This window comes from Homo sapiens, chromosome X (assembly GCF_000001405.40).
Source record: "Homo sapiens chromosome X, GRCh38.p14 Primary Assembly".
Classification (NCBI taxonomy): domain Eukaryota; kingdom Metazoa; phylum Chordata; class Mammalia; order Primates; family Hominidae; genus Homo; species Homo sapiens.
In genome coordinates, this window is record NC_000023.11 from 135,081,033 (window position 1) to 135,105,643 (window position 24,611).

General features: G+C 45.9%; 1 protein-coding gene across 1 annotated transcript, besides 2 other annotated features; it reads right to left on the reverse strand.

Moving 5' to 3' along the window:
* Positions 1-13,952: 13,952 nt before the first annotated feature.
* On the reverse strand, positions 13,953-17,680 carry SMIM10L2B (small integral membrane protein 10 like 2B). The gene is made up of 2 exons (NM_001348255.2): positions 17,001-17,680; positions 13,953-16,089 (listed from the first exon to the last, which is right to left on the reverse strand). Exon 1 carries the CDS (start codon positions 17,599-17,601, stop codon positions 17,365-17,367), a length of 237 nt encoding a protein of 78 aa, NP_001335184.1. The 5' UTR covers positions 17,602-17,680; the 3' UTR covers positions 13,953-16,089; positions 17,001-17,364.
* Positions 17,499-17,748: a silencer, noted in NCBI's record as "silent region_21018". NCBI's record gives its function as "represses an Ori minimal core promoter by ATAC-STARR-seq in GM12878 lymphoblastoid cells {active_cell/tissue: GM12878}" and the evidence as "EXISTENCE:reporter gene assay evidence [ECO:0000049][PMID:35858748]".
* Positions 17,747-18,041: an enhancer, noted in NCBI's record as "tiled region #8062; K562 Activating DNase unmatched - State 4:PromP". NCBI's record gives its function as "activates a minimal TATA promoter and a strong SV40 promoter by Sharpr-MPRA in K562 cells {active_cell/tissue: K562}" and the evidence as "EXISTENCE:reporter gene assay evidence [ECO:0000049][PMID:27701403]".

A 24,611-nucleotide genomic window follows, 5' to 3' on the forward strand; every position in this document is an offset into this window, starting at 1 on the left:
TGACATATAAAAAGGGCAGCTTCACATGGTTCAACACAGTGCAATAGTAAAATAAGCAGACGTTGTTCAATCTGAGGAAGCTGATTGTCCCCCACTCCCCCAAAAATAAAAGAAACAAGCAGATGTTACACAAAGTTCATAAGTAGGTTGGGCGTGGTGGCTCATGCCTGTAATCCCAGCACTTTGGGATCCCGCCTTCCCTGACCTGCAGATCACCTGAGGTCAGGAGTTTGAGACCAGCCTGATCAACACGGTAAAACCCCATCTCTACTAAAAATACAAAAATTAGTCAGGTATGGTGGCGGGCGCCTGTAATCCCAGCTACTCGGGAGGCTGAGGCAGGATAATCACTTGAAGCCAGGAAGTGGAGTTGCAGTAAGCCGAGATTGTGCCACTGCACTCTAGCCTGGGCCACAGAGACACTCTCTCTCAAAAAAACAAAATGAAACAAACAAACAAACAACAACAACAAAACAAAAAACAAAAAACAAAAAAACCAAAGTGCATAAGTAAAGCAGGGTCTAGGTTTGGGTGGTGGAGAGTAGGGTGAGGGTGGAGGGGTGGGCATTAAAATTCACAAACTGTATAGACCTGGAAGAAGAGTAGAAATTGGATCTTTAGTTATTGTTGGCACTAATGTTTTAAATGTTTATGAATGCAGTTGATAATTTGGAAATCACACTAGAGAAGACTCGATTCCTATGGTAAATTCCTTTGAAAAATTAAAGAATATTGTGCTATGTAAATATTTTCCTCTAGTTATTTCTGTTGTAAATTCATACTGGTTCTCTTAAAGGGTGGCACCAGATTAACAGTGTGTGTGCTCAGAACTTGTGTTGTCATCAGACTGAATAATTCTGAATGTTAATAATTAGCATGTAGAGCTTCAGGCATACTGTTTATTCTATTAACCCTCACTCCTCTTTTTGTGTAGTGGAGTTCCTTGTGGAGTTTTCCACCCATGCACTCCTAACAGCATGGTTGCTATCCAGACTTACTGCAAGCTGTCATTCTGATACTTCTCTACTTGCCTTTTACTCCCTACACTCTCAAGCTTCTTTTTTCTCCCCATTTGGGCAGTAATACATCTTTAAGTAGTTTCCCTGAATGAGTCTTGGTATGTGAACTTCCTGAGATTGTGCATTTCTGAAAAGGTCTTCAAACTGTCCTCACCTTTGATTAATATATTAAAATGACTATATTATATACAAGTGGGTAGTGACCACTGTTGTGATGAACCCTATTCCAATCTTTGAACGGTTATTCATTTCTCTTTGAGCTGTTCAGATGTTTTAGTCTGCTTCCTGCATTATAGGGTTGCAGTCACTCTACCTAAGATAACTGTTTTCTGCTCTACAGGGGCATGTTCTCTCTGCTAATGAATACTTCTCCTGACAGGGCTCAGTTTCTAGAGCATAAAGAGGAGGTCAAAGTTCTCATGGAACTATGAAGGGCACAGTTGTTGGTTCCAGCTCATCTTTTTTTTTTTTTAATTTATTAAAAACTTTTTTTAAGTTCTTTTTTTTATTATACTTAAAGTTCTAGGGTACATGTGCACAATGTGCAGGTTTGTTACATATGTATACATGCGCCATGTTGGTGTGCTGCACCCATTAACTCATCATTTACATTAGGTATATCTCCTAATGCTATCCCTCCCCCCTCCCCCCACCCTATGACAGGTTCCAGCTCATCTTTTAGTGCCAATCCCTGGGTGTGATGTAACAACCAGGCCAGCTCCAAAGTAAACTCTAATAAATAAAAGATAAATTTGAGAAAGCCAACACCATTTAAACAACAAGACAATAAGATTATTCCATAAATTTGACAGGGAAATGGACTATCTGGAAAAATGACATTTACATTGTTATACTACTATGGAGTAGAATGTAGAGCATCCAGGAATAGACTCACACACATAGTGTTACTTGACTTATGATAAAGTGATAGAGTAGTATAGTTGGAAAATAAAACTGCTAGTTCAACAGGATATCCATTTTTAAAAAATGAATTATTCATCCCCATCTTAGAAAATACTCCAGGGTAATGATTTGGGCTAAAACAAATACTCCAGGCAACTGATTGTCATCAAAGAACTAATGATAGAGGTGAGATGCACCTACCCAGGGAACAAGAGTGGGAAGGAGAGATTCTCCTGATGAGATTCATCATTCACGCTAGTGTACTGGTTTAAGAAATGTTAATAGCAATGGAGCAGAATGTTAGACTGCAGACTACCAATTAATTTGAAAGGTTTTCCATATTTTTATAAAGATAAAAATAAGAGGTAATTTCTCTGTTGACTCAGTAAACTTTTAGAAGAATCTGTTGCTGTCAATGTTCTAATCCCTTGATTCTTTTTTGCCTTTTGCCATTTGTGATTGTTAATTTTATATGTCATCTTGACTGGGTTAAGGGATATCCAGAAAGCTAATAGAACATTATTTCTGCATATATTCATAAGGGTGTTTCCAGAAGAGATTAGCATTTGAATCAGTAGACTGAGTAAAGAAGATCATCCCTCACCAGTGTAGGTGGGCATTATGCAATCCTTTGGGGGCCCGCATAGAATAAAAAGATGGGAAAAAGGCAAATCTGCTCTCTTTTCAGGAGCTGGTATAAGCCATCTCTGCTGCCCTGGGACATGAGAGCTCCTGGTTTTTGGGCCTTCAGACTCCAGGATTTACTCTGGTTTTCAGGCCTTTAACCTTGGACTGAGTTACAACACCAGCTTTCTTGGTTCTCTGGCTTGCTGACTGCACATCATGGAACTTCTCAGCCTCCATAATTGCATGGGCCAATTCCCATAATAAATTTCCTCTTATCTATTGGTTCTGTTTATCTGGAGAACCCTATTACACCTTCCATAGTTCACTAGACTGTTAACCTATAATTTCTGAGACTATAAAAAAAGGTTTTTGAAGTGGCCTAGAGTTTGTCTTTTAAATAGTTAAGAACTATTCAATATATTTGTTAAAGAACAGATACAGAAATCAGAAGTGAGGGGTATCTCTCTTACAGCAAAATGTTTGTTCAAAATACCTCTACCTCATTTCATTTGAAAACATTTCTTCATTCGAAAACATTATAATATGCAAATTGTTATTCTTGTTGTATCTTCTTATCAGCCACAAGAATCTCAAGAATTTTATATTTGTTTTTATTTATTTATTTATTTTTGAGATGGAGTTTCGCTCTTGTTGCTCAGGCTGGAGTGCAATGGTGCGATCTTGGCTCATTGCAACCTCCTCCTCCCAGGTTAAAGTGATTCTTGTGCCTCAGCCTCCCAAGTAGCTGTGATTACAGGCGTGTGCCACCATGCTTGGCTAATTTTTGTATTTTTAGTAGAGATGGGGTTTCACCATGTAAGTCAGGCTGGTCTCGAACTCCTGACCTCAGGTGATCCACCTGTCTTGGCCTCCCAAAGTGCTGGGATTACAGGCATGAGCCACTGTGCCCAGCCAAGAATTTTATTTTTCATAATAAACCCCGACATGATGAATTGTAAAATTCACATTCATTTGAAATGAAAATCAAAATGAAAAGAAATTGAGACAATATATTCCAAATGATTACATTCATAATAATATTTTCAATGAATAAGGACTCATAAAATATATTAGAAAAAGTCTTTCTTGGGTTAAATCTGCTTGGTGTTCTGTAACCTTGTACTTGAATATTAATATATTTTTCTAGATTTAGGAAGTTCTCGATTATCCCTTTGAATAAACTATCTACCGCTACCTCTCTACTTCCTTTTTAAGGCCAATACCTCTTAGATTTGCCCTTTTGAGGCTATTTTGTAGACCTTGTAGGCATGCTTCATTCATTTTTATTCTTTTTCTTTTGTCTCCTCTGACTCTGTATTTTCAAATAGGCTGTCTTCAAGCTCAATAATTCTTTTTTCTGCTTTATCAATTTTGCTAGTAACAGACTCTGATGCATTCTTTAGTATGTCAATTGATTTATTAATCTCCAGAATTTCTGCTTGATTCTTTTAAATTATTTTAATCACTTTGTTAAATTTATCTGATAGGATTCTGAATTCCTTCTCTGTGTTGTCTTGGGTGTCATTGATCTTCCTTAAAATAGTTATTTTGAATTCTCTGTCTGAAAAGTCATATATCTCTGTCTCTCTGGGACTGGTACTGATGTCTTACTTAGTTCATTTGGTGAGGTCGTGTTTTCTTGTATTGTTTCGATGCTTGTGTATGTTTTTTCATGTCTGGGCGTTGAAGAGTTAGGCACAGCACGAGGACTTGCACAGAAATTGCAGGCTTTGTGACCTAGACTGCATTTCAAGTTTATTTAGAATCCCAGATAACTTTAGCCTGTGGTGGTGAAGCTTGCTGGAACTCAGGTTCCAGCCATTTGATGGGGAATTTTCCTCCGGTTAGGGCTGGTCTAAATGCTCCCTCTGTGGGTGCCGGCTGACTCCCGCCCCATGTTGCTTTCTGCTGTGACAGGGGATCACTGAGTTTCAAGGCAAAGTCCCACTATAACTACACTCTCCCTCCCCCAAGTGCACAGATTCTCTCTCCATGCCACACAACCACCCCTGTGGAATGAAGGAGGGGTGGTGTAGGTGATTCAAGACTGTGTTTCCTACCCCCTTTATTGCTTTTTTTTTTTTTGAGACAGAGTCTTGCTGTGTTGCCCAGGCTGGAGTGCAATGGCACGATCTTGGCTCACTGCAACCTCCACCTCTGGGTCCTCCCGAGTAGCTGGGATTACAAGCACGCGCCATCACGTTCAGCTAATTTTTGTCTTCTTAGTAGAGACGGGGTTTCACCATGTTGGCCAGACTGGTCTTGAACTCTTGACCTCATGATCTGCCCGCCTCGGCCTTCAACATTGTTTCTTTTTTAATAGGATGTTAAAACCAGGTACTATGATTGTTCATTTGATTTTTGGTTCTTATGGAAGTACTTTTTTTGTGTGGATAGTTGTTCAGTTTGGTCTCCTGCATGGGGACTGATCACTGGAGGCTTGTATTCAGCCATCCTGCTCTGCCTCCTTTCATTTTTGTTGTTTTAAGTGACCCAGTTTGTAGTAATTTCTTTCCACATTTCTAGGAAACTAATACAGGCACCGTAATAAATATTTACTTGTGTACATTATTTCATTGTTTCCTCATAGAACCCTATGAATTACTCATTATTTTACAAATGAAGAAAGTGAAGCCAAGAGTATGAGGGATCTGCCAAAGTCACCCAGCTCATAACCTGGAAAGCCAGGATTTAAGCCCAGCTGGTTTCTCCCTCCAAAGCCTGCTTGAACCACATGGTGCCTAATGTAAAACAGGGGGTTGAACCATCTCCCAGTGTTTATTGGTGTTCTGAGAAGGTCCTTGTGACTTATCTGGGTATCTGAGTCTCCAGTCTTGTTTGCAAATCTCTGTTGTAGTGTGTGTAGGAATTAAAAGAACATAACCACCTCATAGGTTCTTATTTGCTTAAGATCGTACACCTTGTATAACTTTTCAAACCTATTATCTCATTCTTATGGGCTATTCAATTACAGAAAGCTAATTTTGTCAAAGCTGTTTGGTGAAACGCCTCTTTTCTCAGCTCACCTGGCTTGCGCTAATGAGAATAGTGCCATCTGTTGGCCACTTCCTTGAACTATATCTAAAAGCCCTTGGGAGGGTGTTGCTAAGGCTTTCAGCAAGAGACACAGTCATCACTGCATCACAGGCTTTGATAAGGGAAAAAGAAAGGCTACAAGGCCATGGGGCACAGGAAAGGAGTGAAGGAAGCAGGTGTCAGTGTGAGGCCGCAGAGCCTCAACTTTAAACATTTTGCTGTGATTCCCAGGGTAATATGATCTGACATTTTATTAAATTTGACATTAAACCTGCAGTCATTCCCAGGTGGCATGTATGTGGAGAGTTGCTGTCACCAGGAAAAGTCACAGAAAGTGAGAAACTAGGCAATGGAAGAGAGACGGGTCTGTCAGTTTCAAATGTTAAAAGGCACTGTGAACGTTGCTTCCTCTTCATGAACCGCTGTGCCCATGGGGCAGAAAGGGAGGCAGGTGCAGAGGGGCACAGTAACATGCTCATGTTCCCAGGGCTGGTGAGCCAGAAGCTGAACCTCCAAGCCAACCTTTGAGCTCCCAGGCTGACCTCTTCCCTCTGCACTTCCATGGGCAAAAGCCTGTAGAAAAGGGAAGTGGAAAGAGGAGTATGGGAAATACAACTGAGGGTCTGGGGCAAGGCTTTGCATCACATCTGAGCAAAAACTGCTTTAACCAGTGCTCAGATTTGCCATGGTGTTCACTTGGAAAGGCCTTTAGAAAAGACATTCCAGGAAAACTGCACTGAGAGCGCTTTTGTAGTATTAATGGAATCACCTTCCAGCTGTGTCTGGTGTGTCCAGTGGGATTCATGTTGCATGTGCCCTGATATTTCTTTTTAACATGCATGATTTGAAAAATGAAATCCTTGGGTGCCAGTCTCTGGGAACTGGGAAGGCCATCTTGCTGCTCTGCTGGTCTGGGTGGCCCAGTTTTTCTGATTCCACCTTTTCCCTAAAGGTAGCGACGTCACCCATACCCTAGATTACTTCCTTGGTAGTGGTGAGGAGCATCACATTCCTGTTAGTTGAGCCCTCACTCACACCCTGGCTCCTACTCTGCACTTACATGTTCCTGTGAGCTCCTCCTCTAACTGCCCACAGGGAATATGTGCCTGGTGCCCACCACAGGATCAGACATGGAGAGGGGCTAGAGAATAAGTCATGAGTCCATTTTCAAGGTGTCCTGAAGGGCTTTCCTGGAGCATGAAGGCCTTCTGATTTTGCCAGGTGGTGGGGGATTGTGGCATGAATTAGTATATGTGGGGGGAAAGAAGGGAGGTTTGGTTAATGAGTGAACCCCTGATATCTGTAGGAAGTGGTGTTTTGAGTGGAAAAGCAGCCATGGTTGTTACAGATGGATTCTGGCGGCCAGGAAGAGGAAGTGCTGTCATGGCCGCCACAGAGGGAGCCTTCCAAGAAATGGCTAGTGGCAGGCATGAGTCAATCTGGACTCAGAAGGCCCTGGGGACTGCTCTGCCAAACTGGGAGAGGGCCCAAGTTTCAGCATGGTTCCAGGTGGCCAAGTTGGAACAGATGGCAACAGCGACTGGTGTGTTTGCCACAGTCAGCATGGCAGTGGGAGGAGAGCCAATAGGGTACAGCCTGCAGCAAGACTGTCTCCCAGTCTCAGGGCTCAGAGAGCAAACTCTTGGAAGTTACAGCCTGTTGGTCCTTCTGAATCTCTGAGGGTCTGCTCACCCCACTTGTGAGACTCTGATATGGTTTGGCTGTGTCCTCATCCAAATCTCATCTTGAATTGTAGTTCCCATAATCCACACATGTTGTGGAAGGGACCCAGTGGGAGGTAATTGAATCATGGGGGTAGCTATCTCCATGCTGTTCTCATGACAGTAAGTTCTCATGAGACATGATGGTTTTATAGGGTGCTTTTCCCCCTTTGTGCTGCACTTCTTTCTCCTGCCACCATGTGAAGAAGGATGTGTGTGCTTCCCCTTCTACTATGATTGTAAGTTTCCTGAGGCCTCCCCAGCCATGAGGAACTGTGAGTCAATTAAACCTCTTTTGTTTATAAATTACCCAGACTCGGGTATTTCTTCATAGCAGTGTGAGAAAGGACTAATACAGTAAATTGGTACCAGGAGTAGTGAGGTGTTGCTATAAAGATACCTGAAAATGTGGAAGTGACTTTGGAACTGGGTAACAGGAAGAGGTTGGAACAGTTTGGAGGGCTCAGAAGAAGACATGAGAATGTGGGAAAGTTTGGAACTTCCCAGAGGCTTGTTGAATGGCTTTGACCAAAATGCTGATAGTGATAGGGACAATGAAATCCAGGCTGAGGTGGTCTTAGATGGAGATGAGGAACTTGTTGGGAACTGTAGTAAAGGTCACTCTTGCTATGACAAGAGATTGGCAGCATTGTGCCCCAGCCCTAGAGATCTGTGGAACTTTGAACTTCAGAGAGATGATTTAGGGTATTTGGTGGAAGAAATTTCTAGGTGGCAAAATGTTCAAGAGGAAGCAGAGCATAAAAATTTAGAAAATTTGCAGCCTGATGATGTGACAGAAAGGAAAACCCCATTTTCTGGGGAGAAATTCAAGCCTGCTGAAGAAATTTGCATAAGTAGCGAGGAGCTGAATGTTAATCACCAAGACAATGGGAAAAATGTCTCCGGGGCATGTGAGAGACCTTCATGGCAGCCCCTCCCATCATAGGCCTGGAGGCCTAGGAGGGATCAATGGTTTCCTGGGCCAGGCCCAGGGCCACCCTGCTCTGTGCAGCCTCAGGACATGGTGTCCTGTGTCCCAGGTGCTTCAGCTCCAGCTGTGGCTAAAAGAGGCCAAGGTACAGCTCAGGCCATTGGTTCAGAGGGTGCAAGCTCTAAGCCTTGGTGACTTCCATGTGGTGTTGAGACTGTGGGTGCACGGAAGTCATGAACTGAGGTTTGGGAACCTCTGCCTTGATTTCAGAGGATATATGGAAATGCCTGGATGTCCATTCAGAAGTTTCCTGCAGGGGCAGAGCCCTCATGGAGAACCTCTGCTAGGGCAGTACAGAAGGGAAATGTGGAGTTGGAGCCCCCACACAGAGTCACCACTGGGGCACTGCCTAGTGGACCTGTGAGAAGCGGGCCACCATTCTCCAGACTGCAGACCCCAGAATGGCAGATCCACCAACAGCTTGCACCGTGTGCCTGGAAAAGCCACAGATGCTCAATGCCAGCCTGTGAAAGCAGCTGGGAGGGGGGCTGTACCCTGCAAAGCCACAAGGGCAGAGCTGCCCAAGGCCGTGGACATCAGCATGACCTGGATATGAGACATGGAGTCAAAGGAGATAATTTTGGAACTTTAAGGCATAATGACTGGCCTATTGGATTTCGGACTTGCATGGGGCCTGTAGCCCCTTTGTTTTGGCCGATTTCTCCCATTTAGAATGTATGTATTTACCCAATGCCTGTACCCACATCATATCTAGGAAGTAACTAACTTGCTTTCAATTTTACAGGCTCTTATGTAGAAGGGAACTGCCTTGTCTCAGACTTTGGATTTGGACTTTTGGGTTAATGCTGGAATGAGCTAAGCCTTTAGGGGACTGTTGGAGAGGCATAGTTGTGTTTTGACATGTGAGGACATGAGATTTGGGAGGGGCCAGGGGTGGAATGATATGGTTTGGCTGTGTCCCCACCCAAATCTCATCTTGGATTATAGTTCCCACAATCCCCACATGTGGTGGAGGGGACCCGGTGGGAGGTAATTGAATCATGGGCTTGGTTACCCCATGTTGTTCTCATGATAATGAGTGAGTTCTCATGAAATCTGATGGTTTTATAAGGGGTTTTTCCCCCTTTGCTCGGCACTTCTCTCTCTTGCCACCTTGTGAAGAAGGATGTGTTTGCTTCCCCTTCCACAATGATTGTAAGCTTCTTGAGGCCTCCCCAGCCATGCAGAACTGTGAGTCAAGTAAACCCTTTTTCTTTATAATTACCCAGTCTTGGTTATTTCTTCATAGCAGTGTAGGAATAGACTAATACAGACTCAATGTCTGCTCTTCATCAATGTCATATTTAAATATTGTGGCAAGTGACTGAGCCGCCTCGGCTGGTTGCTGTTGCCTGGGGTCCTGCTTGTCACTTGATCCTCTTCCTGGGAGGAACTGGGAATGTGAGATGATGTGGGGTTGTGTCCAGAGGGTCAGGCATTCATGTGTTTGTGGCATCCATTAACTACAAGGCCAAGACATCCATGTCCAAGGAGAAGGCCCCAGGGTTAGAGCCAGGAGCCCAGACTAAAGGCAGTGTGGGCGAGCCTGCCAGCATGGGAGGGGAATGTTCTGCTTTTTCTCCAAAACAGGAGGCCAGGAGGAAGAGTCAAGGAGTCTGTGCTGTTCTCCACTGGTCAGGCAGTTGAGGAATATGGCCAGATCAGTCCTCAATGATCCCATCGTTCACTAGAGATTCCCACTCTCTGAGCCACCCTAATGGGGAAGGAGTTGAGGGCTAGGATTGCTTGGGAACTAATGGGATGGGGCTACTTTTGTAAGCTTTTTATACCACAGGGGCAGGACAAGGGCTGCAGGGGATTGAATGAAAGGCCAGGAGAGAAGTTCATCTATGGAAAAGGCCCAGTGGTGAGATAGTAAAATGTGTCAGCAAATTTTGTTTTCATTATTGAGTTGAAATCCACATAACATAAAATCAACCATTTTGAAATGTATAATTCAGTGGCATTTAGTACATTCACAATGTTGTGTAACCATCACCACTGTTAGTTCCAAAACATTTTCATCTCCCTAAAAGGAGACCCTGTACTCATTAAGCAGTCACTCTCCATCCTTCCCTCCCCTAGACCATGGCAACCACTAATCTGCTTTCTGTCTGTATGAATTTACATATTCTAGACATTTCATATAAATGGAATCATAAAATTTGTAATCTTTCGTGTCTGATTTCTTTCACTTAGCATAATATTTTCAAAGTTCATCCACCTTGTAATATGTATCAAATCCTTCATTGTGGGATTATTTTGGGGCTGAATAATATTCCAGTGTATAAATATACCAAGTTTTGTTTATTCATTCATCAGTTGATAGACTGATAGACATTTGGGTTGTTTCCACCTTCTAGCTATTGTAAATAGTGCTGCTATGAAAATTCATGTTTGAGTACCAGCTTTCAGTCATTTGAGTATGTACCTAGGAGTGGAAATGCTGGGCTATAGGATAATTCTAGGTTTAACTATTTGAGGAACCACCTGTTTTCCACAGTGGCTGCTGTACCAGTTTACATGCCCATTAGTAATGAACAAGGGTTCCAATTTCTCCACATCCTCACCAACACGTGTTATTTTAATTTTTTTAAAAAAAGTTGAGCTGTGCGTGGTGACTCACACCTGTAATTCCAGCACTTTAGGAGGCTGAGGAGGGTTGATCACTTGAGGCCAGGAGTTCAAGACCAGCCTGGCCAACATGGTGAAATCCCGCCTCTACAAAAAACACAAAAACTAGCCAGGTGTGGTTGTGCACGTCTGTAATCCCAGCTACTTGGGAGGCTGAGGCATGAGAATCACTTGAACCCAGGAGGCAGAGGTTGCAGTGAGCTGAGATTGTGTCATTGCTCTCCAGCCTGGGCATTGAAGACTCTGTCTCTAAATAAATAAATAAATAAATAAATATCCTAATGTGTGAAGTGGGTGAGGTGAGCTCATTGTGGTTTTGATTTGCATTTCCCTAATGACTAATGACATTGAGCATCTTTATGTGCTTGGTGGCCATTTGTATCACTTCTTTGGAGAAATGTGTATTGAAACTCTTTGCCCATATTTTGATTGGGTTGTCTGTCTTTTTTTGTTGAGTAGCTAGAGTTCTTTTTATATTTCTGGATACAAGTCTCTTATCAGATATATATTTTAAAATATTTGCTCCCACTCTGCAGGTTGTGTTTTCACTGTCCTGATAGTGACTTCTTATGCACAAAAGTTTTTAATTTTGATGAGGTCCAACTTATCTGTTACTGGAATGTTTATAAAAACAAAACCACAGAAAAAAACCAAACAACCAAGAAACCAAACTCCCCAAATAAACAATAAAGGGAAACAACCAAGAGGCATGAGAAATGCATGATACCTTCACACAAGAGACTACTAGGTGGCTTTGGATATAGAAAAATACCTAATAACATGGAAAGATAAAGATGAAGTGGGAGGAGAAGTTTTCAAAGTAGTATGTTCTTTCTCCTTCCCTCCACCAACACAAAGTAGAAATTTGTCCAAACGCAGCAGTTTCCCTTGTGGGTGGGTGAACAGGAGTAGGATGAGGTTTTGCATGCTCTTTATATTTCCCACTTCTTAATGTATTTGCTCTGGTGCCCCCGGAACTGCCTGCTTAGCTGCTCTCTTGCCCTCTCCTGACTCAATCTCTTAGGTCCCAATCAATCTCTGGAGGGAGGATGGAGAAAAGACAGGTGAACCCATCTCAGGGTGGCCCCAGCTGCGCCCACTGGGGAGCTCCATTTGGAGAGGGCTCCCAGGTCTGTCCCCCATCCAAGCCCTGGATTTTTCTTTTCTTTTTCTTTTTTTTTTTTTTTTCAGACGGAGTCTGACTGTGTTGCCCAGATCTTGGCTCACTGCAACCTCTGCCTCCCAGGTTCAAGCGATTCTCCTGCCTCAGCCAACCAAGTAGCTGGGACTATAGGCATGCGCCACCACGTCCAGCTAATTTTTGTATTTTTAGTAGAGACGGGGTTTCACCATGTTGGTCAGGCTGGTCTTGAACTCCTGACCTTGTGATCCGCCCGCCTTGGCCTCCCAAAGTGCTGGGATTACAGGCATGAGCCACCGCACCCAGGCACACCTGGATTTCTTATCTGCCTCCTGGACCCCACCCAGAAAGAACAGGGTCATCTTCCACCTTTGCTATTCCATTCCACCATTACTCCAGCCCAATTCCCTGCCTCTCCAGGGGCACTGGGAGCTCAGGAAAAGAGATTCTGCTTGGGGTTCTATTTCAGACTTGGTTCCTGTCCTTGATTTCTCTGTAAAATGGAGATAAAGGTTAGGTGGTTGTGGGATTATGATGAGATTAGGAATGCAAAGCACCTAGAATGGTGCCTGGCACATGGCAGGCTCTCATCGGATGTCCGTTCCCTTCACTTGGTTCCCTTTCCCCACAGTAACAAGGCTTCTCCAGGTGAGAGCTGATGACAAACGTTGAACAGACATTGTATTCGCTGCTGACAAGCATCCCAAAGGAACCTTACTAAAAACTCCAGGTTGTGCAGTTTGCCTGGCACCATACAGTAGTAAGTGGAAGAGCTGGATTCACGGCTCAGGGCTTTGGTCTCCTGGGGTCCCATTTGAGCAGAACCGGCCTTCCTGCCTTCCCTTCCTCTGTTGCAAGGATGGGCCTCTTCAGGAGGCCTTGGAGCCAGGCTCTGGGGGTATCATCCCCCATCTTGGTTTGCCAAGTCACGTGATCCCTGGAGTGGGGATGGGACCATCAGGGACTGAAGAGGACCATCTAGACAAAGGGGAGGGAAGCTCAGGGACTGGGGTCCATTTCTCCTGTGGTGGCAGATGCCATAGGATGTTGGCACTAGTGCTTTTGGAGGGGTTCTTATCAGGGTGCTGTGACCCCTGGGTAGCCCTTGGCAACAGGAGTGCCCCCAGGGCCCCTAAACTCAGACTGCACTCCTGAGTCTGAGCATAGCCCTGTGTCCTCAGGATGCCTCTCACCTAGGCATCTTCCTCTAACACTCCCCTCGGCCTTCCCTCTCCCACCTTTTGCCTGCTTGCCAACCCTTACAGCAGCCATTAGGGAGCTCTCTCCTGTGGGAGCCACTAAGGAGGGGGACTCTGATGGGACAGAGTTTGCCTCCAAGGCTGGGGAAGGGAAGGAGGCTTCTAGGGCCAGGTCCTTTATCTTCTCCAGGGTTCTGCAGTAACCTGGCTGGTAGGGAGGCAGTGGGAGGTGACCTCAGGCAGGGAGAAGGGTCTCAGCGCTACACGAAATGACCTGCGTGGAGTCTGTTTCAGTTCACTTCACCCTAGTCCACCCTCAGGATTCTACTGACTTAGGCACTTTTGATCACCAGACTCTAAAACGGAAGAGGACTTATGTTTTGGGTCATTTGAACAGAGACTGTCAACAGGACAAGCAGCCACCTCTCAGGGCCAGGCCAGGCTGCTGCCTGCTTCTCATGGGGCAGTGGTCTGGGTCAAGTCGGTTCTCAGCACAGCCTCTGAACAGGAAACACGGTCCCTGCCACAGCCTCCCCCAGCCCTACTCCTCAGAGGCTTTTCCCTGCCAGCTCCTGGCCATGGGAGCCGGTGACCTTGCCATGGGAGCCGGTGACCTCACCATGGGGCCTCTCTCCACCTGGGGCCATTGCATCACCCCCACCAGACACGGAAGGCCTCCAGTTGGGATTTTAGTGTATTAAACCAAGGACTTTTTTTTTTTTTTAAACTTAGAGAAAACAAGAAGACGTGACAACACCAGAAACAAGAACATCTCTCTGGCCAGCCTGTGCTGACCAGTACACAGTGAATCACACACAGAAACGTATGTCATTCCGGTCGGTGTCTAGAAGCTCCACCGCCTAGAAAACAGACTGCAAATAAATAAAGTGCATGGAGACCCCATCACGCAGCAAGGGCCCTGTAGGGGAGAGAAGAGGTGGGGAGGGGAGGTAGAGAAGCAGCAGGCGGGGCTACCACTTCAGGCAGCAGGGGTGAAAAGGCAGGGACAGGAGCAAATGCTGAGGGCTTAGCCCTGCTCCTCCCCAGTCAGCCCCTCTAGGCCAATATAGCCACAGCAGAAGCCACGGGGGGTGGGCGGACATGGACATCCGTGACCCTCTTATGGGGTGGGTTCCCTGCAGTCGGGGGTCTCTGAGGGTAGGGACCCCTGCAGCTCCGACACACATTTCTCCCAGTAGGGAAGCAGCTTCCAGAGTCCCAGGATGAGCCCCTTGCATGGGGAGGGCTCAGGCACCCCCCACTGTATCACACATGCAATCAGCAAAGAACTTTCCTCCACCCTTCCTGGCTGGCCCAGGAAGAGGCTGGAGCTAGGGATCCAGTCACCCAGAGGGTGACACCAGGGTTTGAAAGGGCCACATCTGTGCATCAGACACAAGGAGGCCCCTCACTCCTCTTCTCCTCCAGCTCTGTATCACTCTTGTCCCACAGAGGCTGCCCCCAGAGATCTGTTGGGGGGACCAGCAGGCTGACAGGCCCCCAGAGGTGGTCAAGGGTGGACAGGGTTGGGGCGGATGAGAGAGGCCAGCAAGGTCAGGGGTTCTCAGGAGACTTGGGACAAGGAGGCACCCCATCGGGCCCTGGCTGTGGGAGACTGCAGGGGGCACGAGGCAGCCACTGTCCAGCCTCTTCTGGGGTGAGGCAGGCGGACAGCTTCATTCAGGACCTGGGTCCAGTGGCCTGCTGAGGAGGGTACGTGGTAGGTGGTTGGATCACTCTGTCCCTGGAGCTGGCCAGACTGCTGCAGTTTTCAATCCCAGGAACTGAGAATGTGGCCCTCAGGGTACCAGTGCAAGAGATGCGGAAATGGGGATAGCAGGTGAGGGCGAGGGTCCCTTCCTGGCTCCCCTCTGGGCTGCTCTTGAGCATTGTACACCAGTTAGCAGCACAACCGGGGGCCCCCAGGACCAATCCAAGCCGTGAGGATGAGATTCTCCTGTGTGATCCTGGGGATGGCGGGGGGGTCGAGCTTGAGGAGAGAGAATTGGGGTCATGCCATGGGTCTCAGCCCCAGCCCACCCCAGGTTTATCCCTTCACCCTCCTGGTTATGTCGTGTCTCCAGGAGCCATGACACCACCATCAGCCCCACTTGCCCACCAAACTGGGAGGTTTGTGCCACTTCACTGCTGAAAAGCCCTTGGTGAAGCTCCAGGTGGGGTGGGGAGGCTAGGCTGTGGGGGAAAGCTTGGCTCCCCAGGGATCCTGGGGCCCATCTCTCCTGTCTGCCATCTCAGCTGTCTGTCCTAATCTTTCCTGTGATCTTCTGTACTGCTCCAAAGAAAGCGAGATCCCCAGATTCCCTACCCTTGGGCCCCTCTCCCTTGGTGCCCTAGGAGCCCTATGCTTCCCTCTTCACTTTCCCCTCCCTCCTCCCATCATGCCAGGTCTTGGAGAAGACTGGGGAGGGGTGTGGGAGCCTGCAGGCCCAGGGGCACACGCAGTTCCTCCTCATCCTATCTGCATGTCAAGGGCAAATCCCCCCCTCCCCGAAGCCTCGGTTTCCTCTGTCATTAGGAGGGGGAAATACACCTCTCTCACAGTGCTGCTAGCCGATTTCAGTTCCCAGGGAACTCAGACCTTCCCTCCCAAGCCAGGACTCGATCACTGGGCACCCCCACCCCTGTGAGCCTTTGTCCATGCTGTGCCTCTACTAGGAAGGCCCTTCTTCTCCTCTTGTTCAGGCCCTTCACGCTGCCTCTGCCCAAGCAGGTCCAGGGTCAGAGGTGCCCCAGGGTAGGGATGAGACTCTTGGCAAGGCCAGAGAAGGGGCGGGTCACCGCCTACAAACGTCAATGCCTGAAAGAGAAAGAAAGAGATGGGGACCTCAGTTGCCTGGCCACCAGATACGTCCTTGCTTCCCCCAGGAATGGCCTCCTCTGCAAGCCCCTCCTCCATCTGCTCTGCCCACCCCAGGCTGAGAGCTGCTGTGTGCTCAGGGAGGTCTCTTTTTCCCAGATCACTTCAGTACACAGTGGGCTTCTCGAGGCCGTCTGGGGCTGGAGGATGGGACTCTGGCCCTGGGAGGGCCTTGCTAGCTACGGTCCTTAGGGAGCATGGGCTGACATGGCGGAAGAGCAAGACTGTGGGGGGAGGGGACGGTAGGAATGCGTCTCTCCCACTCTTCCCAGTCTCCAAATGCAAAGCTTGCAGGGTGCCCTCAGGTAGGGGCAGGGGAACACGACGGACAGCAGGAGCAGGGAGAGACCAGTCCTCTGGCCCCAAAGACAGGGCAGGAGGCAGTTTTGCCAAGGGCTGTGCAGGAGCTGCAGAGAGACCCAGGGCTGAGGGCTGAGAAGAGAACAGACGTAGGGCTCGGCCTAGAAGAGAACCGTCCTCCCTATGCCCACCGACTGGTGGGGAAGAGAAGGGTGGGGGCATCGTTGCTCCTCTAGGGCCTTCCCGGGGCCGCCCCCAGCCCACTACCTTCCATTCCCCAGGTTTCAGTGGACACCCTGGGGGCCTCTGCGGAAAGGGAGGCCGGCACTGGGGAATGAGCGGGAGGCGGCTGCCCCTCACCCTATCCTGCAATCATGACTGGGGAGGAGGGGAGAGCCTGCGGCTGCCTTTCCTTTCCCCACCTGGGCTCCACAGCTCTTCGGGCTGGTTTGCTCCGGTGCCTTCCATATTTCCCCCCAACTGCCAAGGCGCCCCGACCTCTGCAGGGCAGAGCCACAGCCCCTCCCCCATTCCAACCTGTCGCCTCCTACCTTTCTGCTCGGGGCGGGGAAAGTCAAGTCGCCGCAGCAGAATTCCCTCCTTCTGGTTTCCCCCTCTTTTGCCAATGTGAGGCAACAGGTAGTCCGAGCTCAGGTAGTTTCTGGAGCCCAATTGTAGGGGCCTGTTCAGTGCATTTCTGCGCGATCCGGGGTCCCGGGCTGAGACCGCGGCCAGGGCCAGGGCTGGGCCTTCGTGCCCGGGCGGCGTAGGTCTAGAGTCCAGGGGCCCGGGCCGCCCCACCTCCGCCCCCCGCCGCGATCCAGCTGTCCTTCATGCCCGCGACCCGGCCGGGGGCGGGCGGGGACACTGTCGCCCCTCCAGCCGGGCCTCCGCGGCCGCCGCCGCCGCCGGCGCTCACTCGATCCGCACTTGCAGGCGGACGTTGAGCATCACCGAGGCCACGATGTAGAAGTAGGGGAAGTTCATGCGCAGCCGCCAGGCCAGGTCGAAGAAGGTGAGCAGCGTGCGCGTGAGCCCCTTGCAGAAGGCGCCGTATGAGCCTCGGGCCGCCGCCGAGCGCGACAGCCGAACCGCCAAGCCAGACAGGGCTGCCGCCGCCGCCGCCGCAGACAGAGCCGCCGACGCCGCCATGGGCCCGGGCCCCGCGCAGGCCCCGCCGACCGATCGACCCGCAAGAGCTCGAGCCTCAGGACGGCGGGACCCCAACACTAGCGCGCCCCGCCGGCCGCCGGGAGAGCGACGTCCGCCCCGCCCTCGCCCCACCCTCGCCCCGCCCTCTCCCCACCCTCGCCCCGCCCTCGGGTTCTCCAGACTGAGCCTTGCTTCAGGGGCCACTGCCTCGGTCCCTCCTCCACGAGCCCGCACAGCTCCATCCGCTCCACATCACGTCACTGCGGGCCCCGCCCCCCAGCATAGCTCCGCCCCTAACAGCCTCGCCCCCGGCAGAGAGGCCGTCGGCGTAGCGGCCCCGCCCACTAGACCCGCCCTGCATTCTCAGCTCCGCCCACCGCCCGGTTCCGCCCACAAAGCCCTGCCTCTTTTCGGGCGCCTCCCAAGGCAGGAGCGGATTGAAGGGCGGAGCTGCCAGGGATCGATTGCTGTGACACTGTCTCCTAGGGTGGAGCAGGAGTGGAGGAGGACAGTCTGGACCGCTAAGCTGATTCTGTACAGAAAGCACATGCAGAAGACTCTGCCTGTTCATATCACTCCCCTTCTCCCACGGTCTCCCCTGAAAACTTGCCAGCCAAGACCTTTCTTTAATTCGCATTTCTCTTTAATGCGCATAGTGCAGTAATTCTGCGCTAAAGAGTGCCACCAAACCCACAAGCGTGCATTTTTCCCTTTCTGTTGTATTTGCTGGTCACGTATATCTCTGTGTTGGCGAATTTCCCCGTTGTCCTTCCCTTTCTCAGCAGTCTTCTTGATCCATACAATGTTGTCTCGGGTTTTCATTTGCTCTTATTTATGGCCTTTTTTTTTTTTTGCCGGTGTGCTTAAAAGCCCTTTTGTGGTTTCATTCAATCTTTATTAAATGTAAACCAATCAAAACCCAGTAGCGTTTTTTCGGACTGTTTAATAAAGCCGGGAAATACTCACACTTTGTTATGGTCATGACTTTTGAAAAACTGTCCGCAAGAAGAAGGTTCACCCGACCCCATCCCAGTTTTCACAGCAAAGATTGACGTGGGTATTTAAGAACTCTCAAAATACCTGTTCGCCGTCACACTTGATCATCTCTATGGTATCCCACGTAACTGTTTAAGGAACGTAGTAGATTCATATACACTGATTAGGCAATTGTCCTACCTACATGATCATGTAAAAAAAGACAAAACTGAGCATCAAGGAAACTGAAGGAAATGGTGTGGTGCAGGGCTGATTGGTAGTCCACTTTTCCACCTGCTGCCAAACACAATTAAATAATTTTTTAGAGAAAGGGTCTCACTCTGTTGCCCAGGCTGCAGTGCAGTGGTTTAGTCATAGCTCATGGCAGCCTTGAACTTCTGGGCTCAGGCGATCCTCCTGCCTCAGGCTCTGGAGTAGCTAGGACAATAGATGGGGCTACAAATTCTATATCCATGAATACATCTTTTAAGGATGAAATGGAAATAAAGATATTTTCAGATAAAAGAAGATTAAGAGAATTTGTGAGTAACAGACCTATGCTTAAAGAATGGCAGAAAGAAGTTCCCTAAACAGAAATAACAGAAAGATGATGGCATTTCAGGAAGGAAAAAGAACAATTGGAAAGAGTAAATATAGGGGTAGATATAATAGACCATCCTCCTCATGAGTTTTTAAAATGATGTTTGATGGTTGAAGCAGAAACTATTATGTCATCTGATGTGATGCTTAATATATAGAGAGGAAATACTTAAAACATTTGTATTAAAAGTGAGGCAGGTAAATAAACCTAAATGGAAGTAAGATTTCTACAACTTACTGGAAGTGGTTTAAAATATCCATGGTAGTAGAATGTGATAAGTTAATATGTATATTGTAATTCCTATTGATATGGTTTGGCTCTGTGTCCCCACCCAAATCTCATCTTGAATTGTAATCCCTATAATCCTCACATGTCAAGGGCCAGACCAGGTGGAGGTAATTCAATCATGGAGACAGTTTCCCCCATGCTGTTCTTGTGATAATGAGTGAGTCTCACAAGAGCTGATGGTTTTATAGATGTCTGTGTCTGGCATTTCCCCTGCTTGCACTCACTCCGTCCTGCCACCCTGTTAAGAAGGTGCCTGCTTCTCTTTTGCCTTCTGCCATGATTGAAAGTTTCCTGAGGCCTCCCCAGCAATGTGGAACTGTGAGTCAATTAAACCTCTTTCCTTTATAAATTACCCAGTCTCTGGTATTTCTTTGTAGCAGCGTGAGACCGAACTAATACACCTACAGTAACCACTAAAGTAACTATACAAAGACATATATTTTTTAAAAAAGCACTATGGATAAATCAAAATGAAGTTCTAAAGAGTGTTCAAGTAACCCAAAGGAAGGTAATATATGGAAACAGAAGAACAAGAAACAAAATTAACAAAGAAAAAACATATAATAATATGTCACACTGAAGTCCTAATATATCAATAATTAATGTACATGTAAGTGGTCTAAGCATACCAATTAAAAGATAGAGATAGGTAGAATGGATATAAAACAAAAACCATGACTCAAGTATATCCTATTTATAAGAAACTCACTTCAAATGTTCTTAATTTTAAAGATTTACTCATTCTCAAGCATAATTTAATGTTCCCCATAAACAAACCATTTCCCCCCAAAACTATACATAATTTTATAATGGAAATAAATTTTAGAAATTGAACTTGGAAGCTCAAAATCTTACAATTGGAGAGGATCTTTAAGACCATCTATTTTAATATCCTCCCTCATAGAGGACTTATTTTAACAATATCCCTGACCAATGATGAATTTCCAGCTGGTGCTAGAACGATTAAGTGACAGGAACGTTATTGCTTCTCAAGATGGTCCATTCCTTATTTCGAACAAAGACAGTTTCAATCCATTGGTATAAATTCTAAATTTTGCACAATAGTAGGTTAACCCTTTAGCATGGTAGACTTTCAGATAGTTGAAGTTAACACTCATGTTTCCTTACTAAATATTTGTTCTCTAAACAACAAACTTTTCTTTCAAGTGTTCTTCATAAGGTCAGTTCCTTTATCATCTGCATCGCAGTCCTCTGGAAATAGGCCATTTTATCAATATTTCTCTTAAAATGAGGCACCTGCAATGGGACTGTATACTACATATGTGGGGTACCAGTTTTATTTTATTTTTTCTATATAGATGTTTGGCTTCAGAAAGAATGAGATTAGAACATGCTTATTTATTTACTAGTATTTATTTTTAACAGATTTTTTGAGATATAATTTATATATCATAAAATCCATCCTTTTAAAATGTGCAACTCAATAGTTTTTAGGATATTTGCAAAGTTGTACAACCATCACCACTATCTCATTTTAGAACATTTTTCTTCCACAAAAAAGAAACTCTGTACCCCTTAGCAATGAATCCCCATTCTCCCCTCCCCCATCCCCTTGTAAGGGGGTATTTTGATTTATCTATAGTGTTTTTTTTTTTTAAATATATGTCTTTTTATGGATACTTTAGTGGTTACTCTGGGTATTACAATATACATATTAACTTATCACAATCTACTGGCATCGACATTTTAAACCATTTCCAGTAAGGTGTAGAAATCTTCCATTTAGGGCTATTTACCCTCCTCACTTTTAATACAAATGTTTTAGGTATGTCCTCTACATATATTGAGCATCGCATCAGATGACATAATAGTTTCTGCTTCAACCATCAAACACCATTTTAAAAACTCATGAGGAGGATGGTCTATACTGGCAAAAGTTAATATACCTTCTATCTCATGGATTTGCCTATGTTGGACATTTCATATAAATGGAGCATACAATATATGGTATATTGTGAACTGATTCTTTTACTTAGCAGAAAGTTTTCAATGTTCATTATATAGTAAATATCATTATTTCATTTTTTTATGGCTGAATAACATTCAGTTGCATAGATAGAGCAAATTTGGTGTAAATCAAAAGTATCTATGAGAGGTCCCAATCAATTTAGAAAGTTTATTTTGCCAAGGTTAAGGATGCATCTGTGACACAGCCTCAGGAGTTACTGATGACATGTGTCAGAGGTGGCTGGGGTACAGCTTGGTTTTATACATTTTAGGGAGACATGAGGCATCAATCAATACATGTTAAGATGGACATTGCTTTGGGCTAGAAAGGCAGGACAACTAGAAGCAGGGGAGTGGGAGACTTCCAGGTTATATGTAGATTTAAAGATTTTCTGATTGGCAATTGGTTGAAAGAGTTATTATCAATAGAAAGGAATGTCTTGGTTATGAGAAAGGGTTGTGGAGACCAAGGTTTATCATGCAGATGAAGCCTTCAGGTAGCAGGCTTCGGAGAGAATAGATTGTAAGTGTTTCTTATCAGAGTTAGAGTTTCTTCTATCAGTAATTCCAAAAGGGAGGAGGGTATAATGAGGTATTTCTGGGTCCCCCTTGCAATCATGGCCTGAATTAGTTTTTCAGGTTAACTTTGGAATGCCTTTGGATGATAGGAGGAATCCATTCAGATGGTTGTGTGACCTAAGAATTTTATTTTTGGTTTATGATGGACGTTTGGGTTGTTTCCATTTTTTTAACTATTGTGAATAATACTGCTGTGAATGCTTATGTACAAATTTTTGTGTGGGCATATATTTTCATTTCTCTTGGGTATATAACTAGCGGTGAAATTGCTGGACTATGTGGTAACTCAATGTTTAACTTTCTGAGGAACAGCCAGAGGGTTTGCCAAAATGGCTGTAACATTTAACAATCCCACTAGCAATGTATGAAAGTTATAAGTTCTCCACATCCTTGCCAACATTTTTTATTGCCTGTCTTTTGTATTGTAACACCCTAGTGGATATGCATCTCACTGTGATTTTGATTTTTAAGCACCCAGTGACTAATTATGTTGAGTATGTTGTTGTGTGCTTGTTGGCCATCTTTGGCACAATGATGTGCAACCATCACCACTATCTAGGTCCAAATCTTTTTTACCACCCCAAATGATACTCATTAAGCAGTTACAACCCATCCTCTTCCTGGTCCTAGCTCATGGCAACCACGAATCTGCTTTCTGTCTCTTTAAATTTGCCTATTCTGGATATTTCATGTAGATGAAATCATATAGTATGTGTTCTTTGTCATTAGCTTATTTCACTTACCATAATGTTTTTGAAGTTCATCCATGTGGTAGCATCTCTCAGTGCTTCATTTTTATGGCTGAATAATAATGGATGTACCAAATTTTGTTTATTCATCCATTTAAGGGCATTTGCTTCATTTCCACCTTTTAACTATTGTAAATACTGCAACTATGGACATTTTGTACAAGTATGTGTTTGAATGTTTGTTTTCAATTCATTTGGGTGTACGGTACGTGAATGTTTGTTTTCAATTCTTTTGGGTATACTACCTCAAAGAAAAATTGCTGGGTCATATGGTATTATATGGTTTGGATATTGGTCCCCTCCAAATCTCATGTTGAAATATGACCCCCAATATTGGAGGTGGGGCCTGATGAAAGGTGATTAGATCATGGGGATGCATCTTTCATGAATGGCTTAGTGCCATCCTCTTGGTGATGAGTGAGTTCTCTCTCAGTTCGAGCAAGATCTGGTTATTTAAATGAGTCTGGGATCTCCTCCTTCACTCTCTCTTGCTTCTACTTTTGCCATGTGATGTGCCTGCTCCTGCTTCACCTTCTGCCATGATTGTAAGCTTCCTAAGGCATCACCAGAAGCTGAACAGATGCTGGTGTCATGCTTGTACAGGCTGCAGAACTGTAAGCCAATTACACCTCTTTTCTTTACAAATTACTCAGCTTCAAGTATTTCTTGATAGCAACACAAAAATGGATAAATGCATGGCAGTTCTGTATTGAACATTCTGAGGAAATGCCAAACTGTTTTTCACATTGGGTGCACGTTGCCTCTCTCCCTTCACCTTAACCTCTGGAAGATCTCATTCAGTGAGAGACTTCCCTTTATATGCAAGTCATGTAAATGAAGATTGTTGTGTGCTGTGTCCACCTCATGGTCATATCTTTTTCTTTGATCAGCTCTGAAATCCCTCAAGCTCACTACACTCTTCTAGAACAGATTTGTTTTAGTGAGATTTTAGTGAAACAGCCCTGGCTGGAGCATCTGCACCTCAACATGGCCCTGCCCTCCAAAAAGTAACCCAAGCCTTCCTCTGCCCCGCCACTTTCATAGCATGCCATGTGCTCCAGCAAAGGGGCATGGCAGCTGGAGAGAGGAAAATGCCCCTGCTTCATAAGCAACTGGATATCGTTTCTTAATGAATTAGCATTTTGCACATCAGCCTGAGCTCCCAGCAGCTGTGCTGGGGCCACTGAGGCTCTGCCTGCCTGCATCTGCCTGCTGCCCCCTGTATGGGGGAGTAGTCTGTGTTTTGGACAAAGGGATACTTTGCAGGTAGCTTTTAGAACACAACAGCCAGTGAAATTTCTTCTGTCCAGCCACAGCAAATGGAGCCCTAGAGCCCTCCAACTTTCCGGTCAACATTGAGATTTAGAGGAAATATCACCCCGTGCCTCTCTTCCTTACTTTTCATTTCTTCAGTTTATAGTGTTCTTTCTGAAATCCTGGAATTCTGGCAGAAGCTGTGGAACTTCCATTTCCTTTCCAGCACTAATGGTTCCCAACCCAAGGATTATTTGGAACGCAGAAGGTGGCCATTGCCACCAATCGAGAGAATAGTTTGTCATTTTATGTGTCTGTTTCTAATATTTTATTGAGAGTGAGAGAACAGTCCTCCTCTTTTTAGAATTTTAAAAAACATTTTTGTAAATGTATCAAAAATTGTTGCTCACTGGCTGTTAAAACTCCAAGTTCTTCAGTTTTTACAGACTGAATTTCCTGTTTGTAGCCAGCTCTAGTTGTCACCTTGTCTGTGGGAGGATTCAGAATTGGGACCAAAAATTGTTGTAGCCTCATTTATCTTCCCCAGGTACCATGCCAGCTGGCACACACAGAAACGTGGTGATGATCGTGTCAGG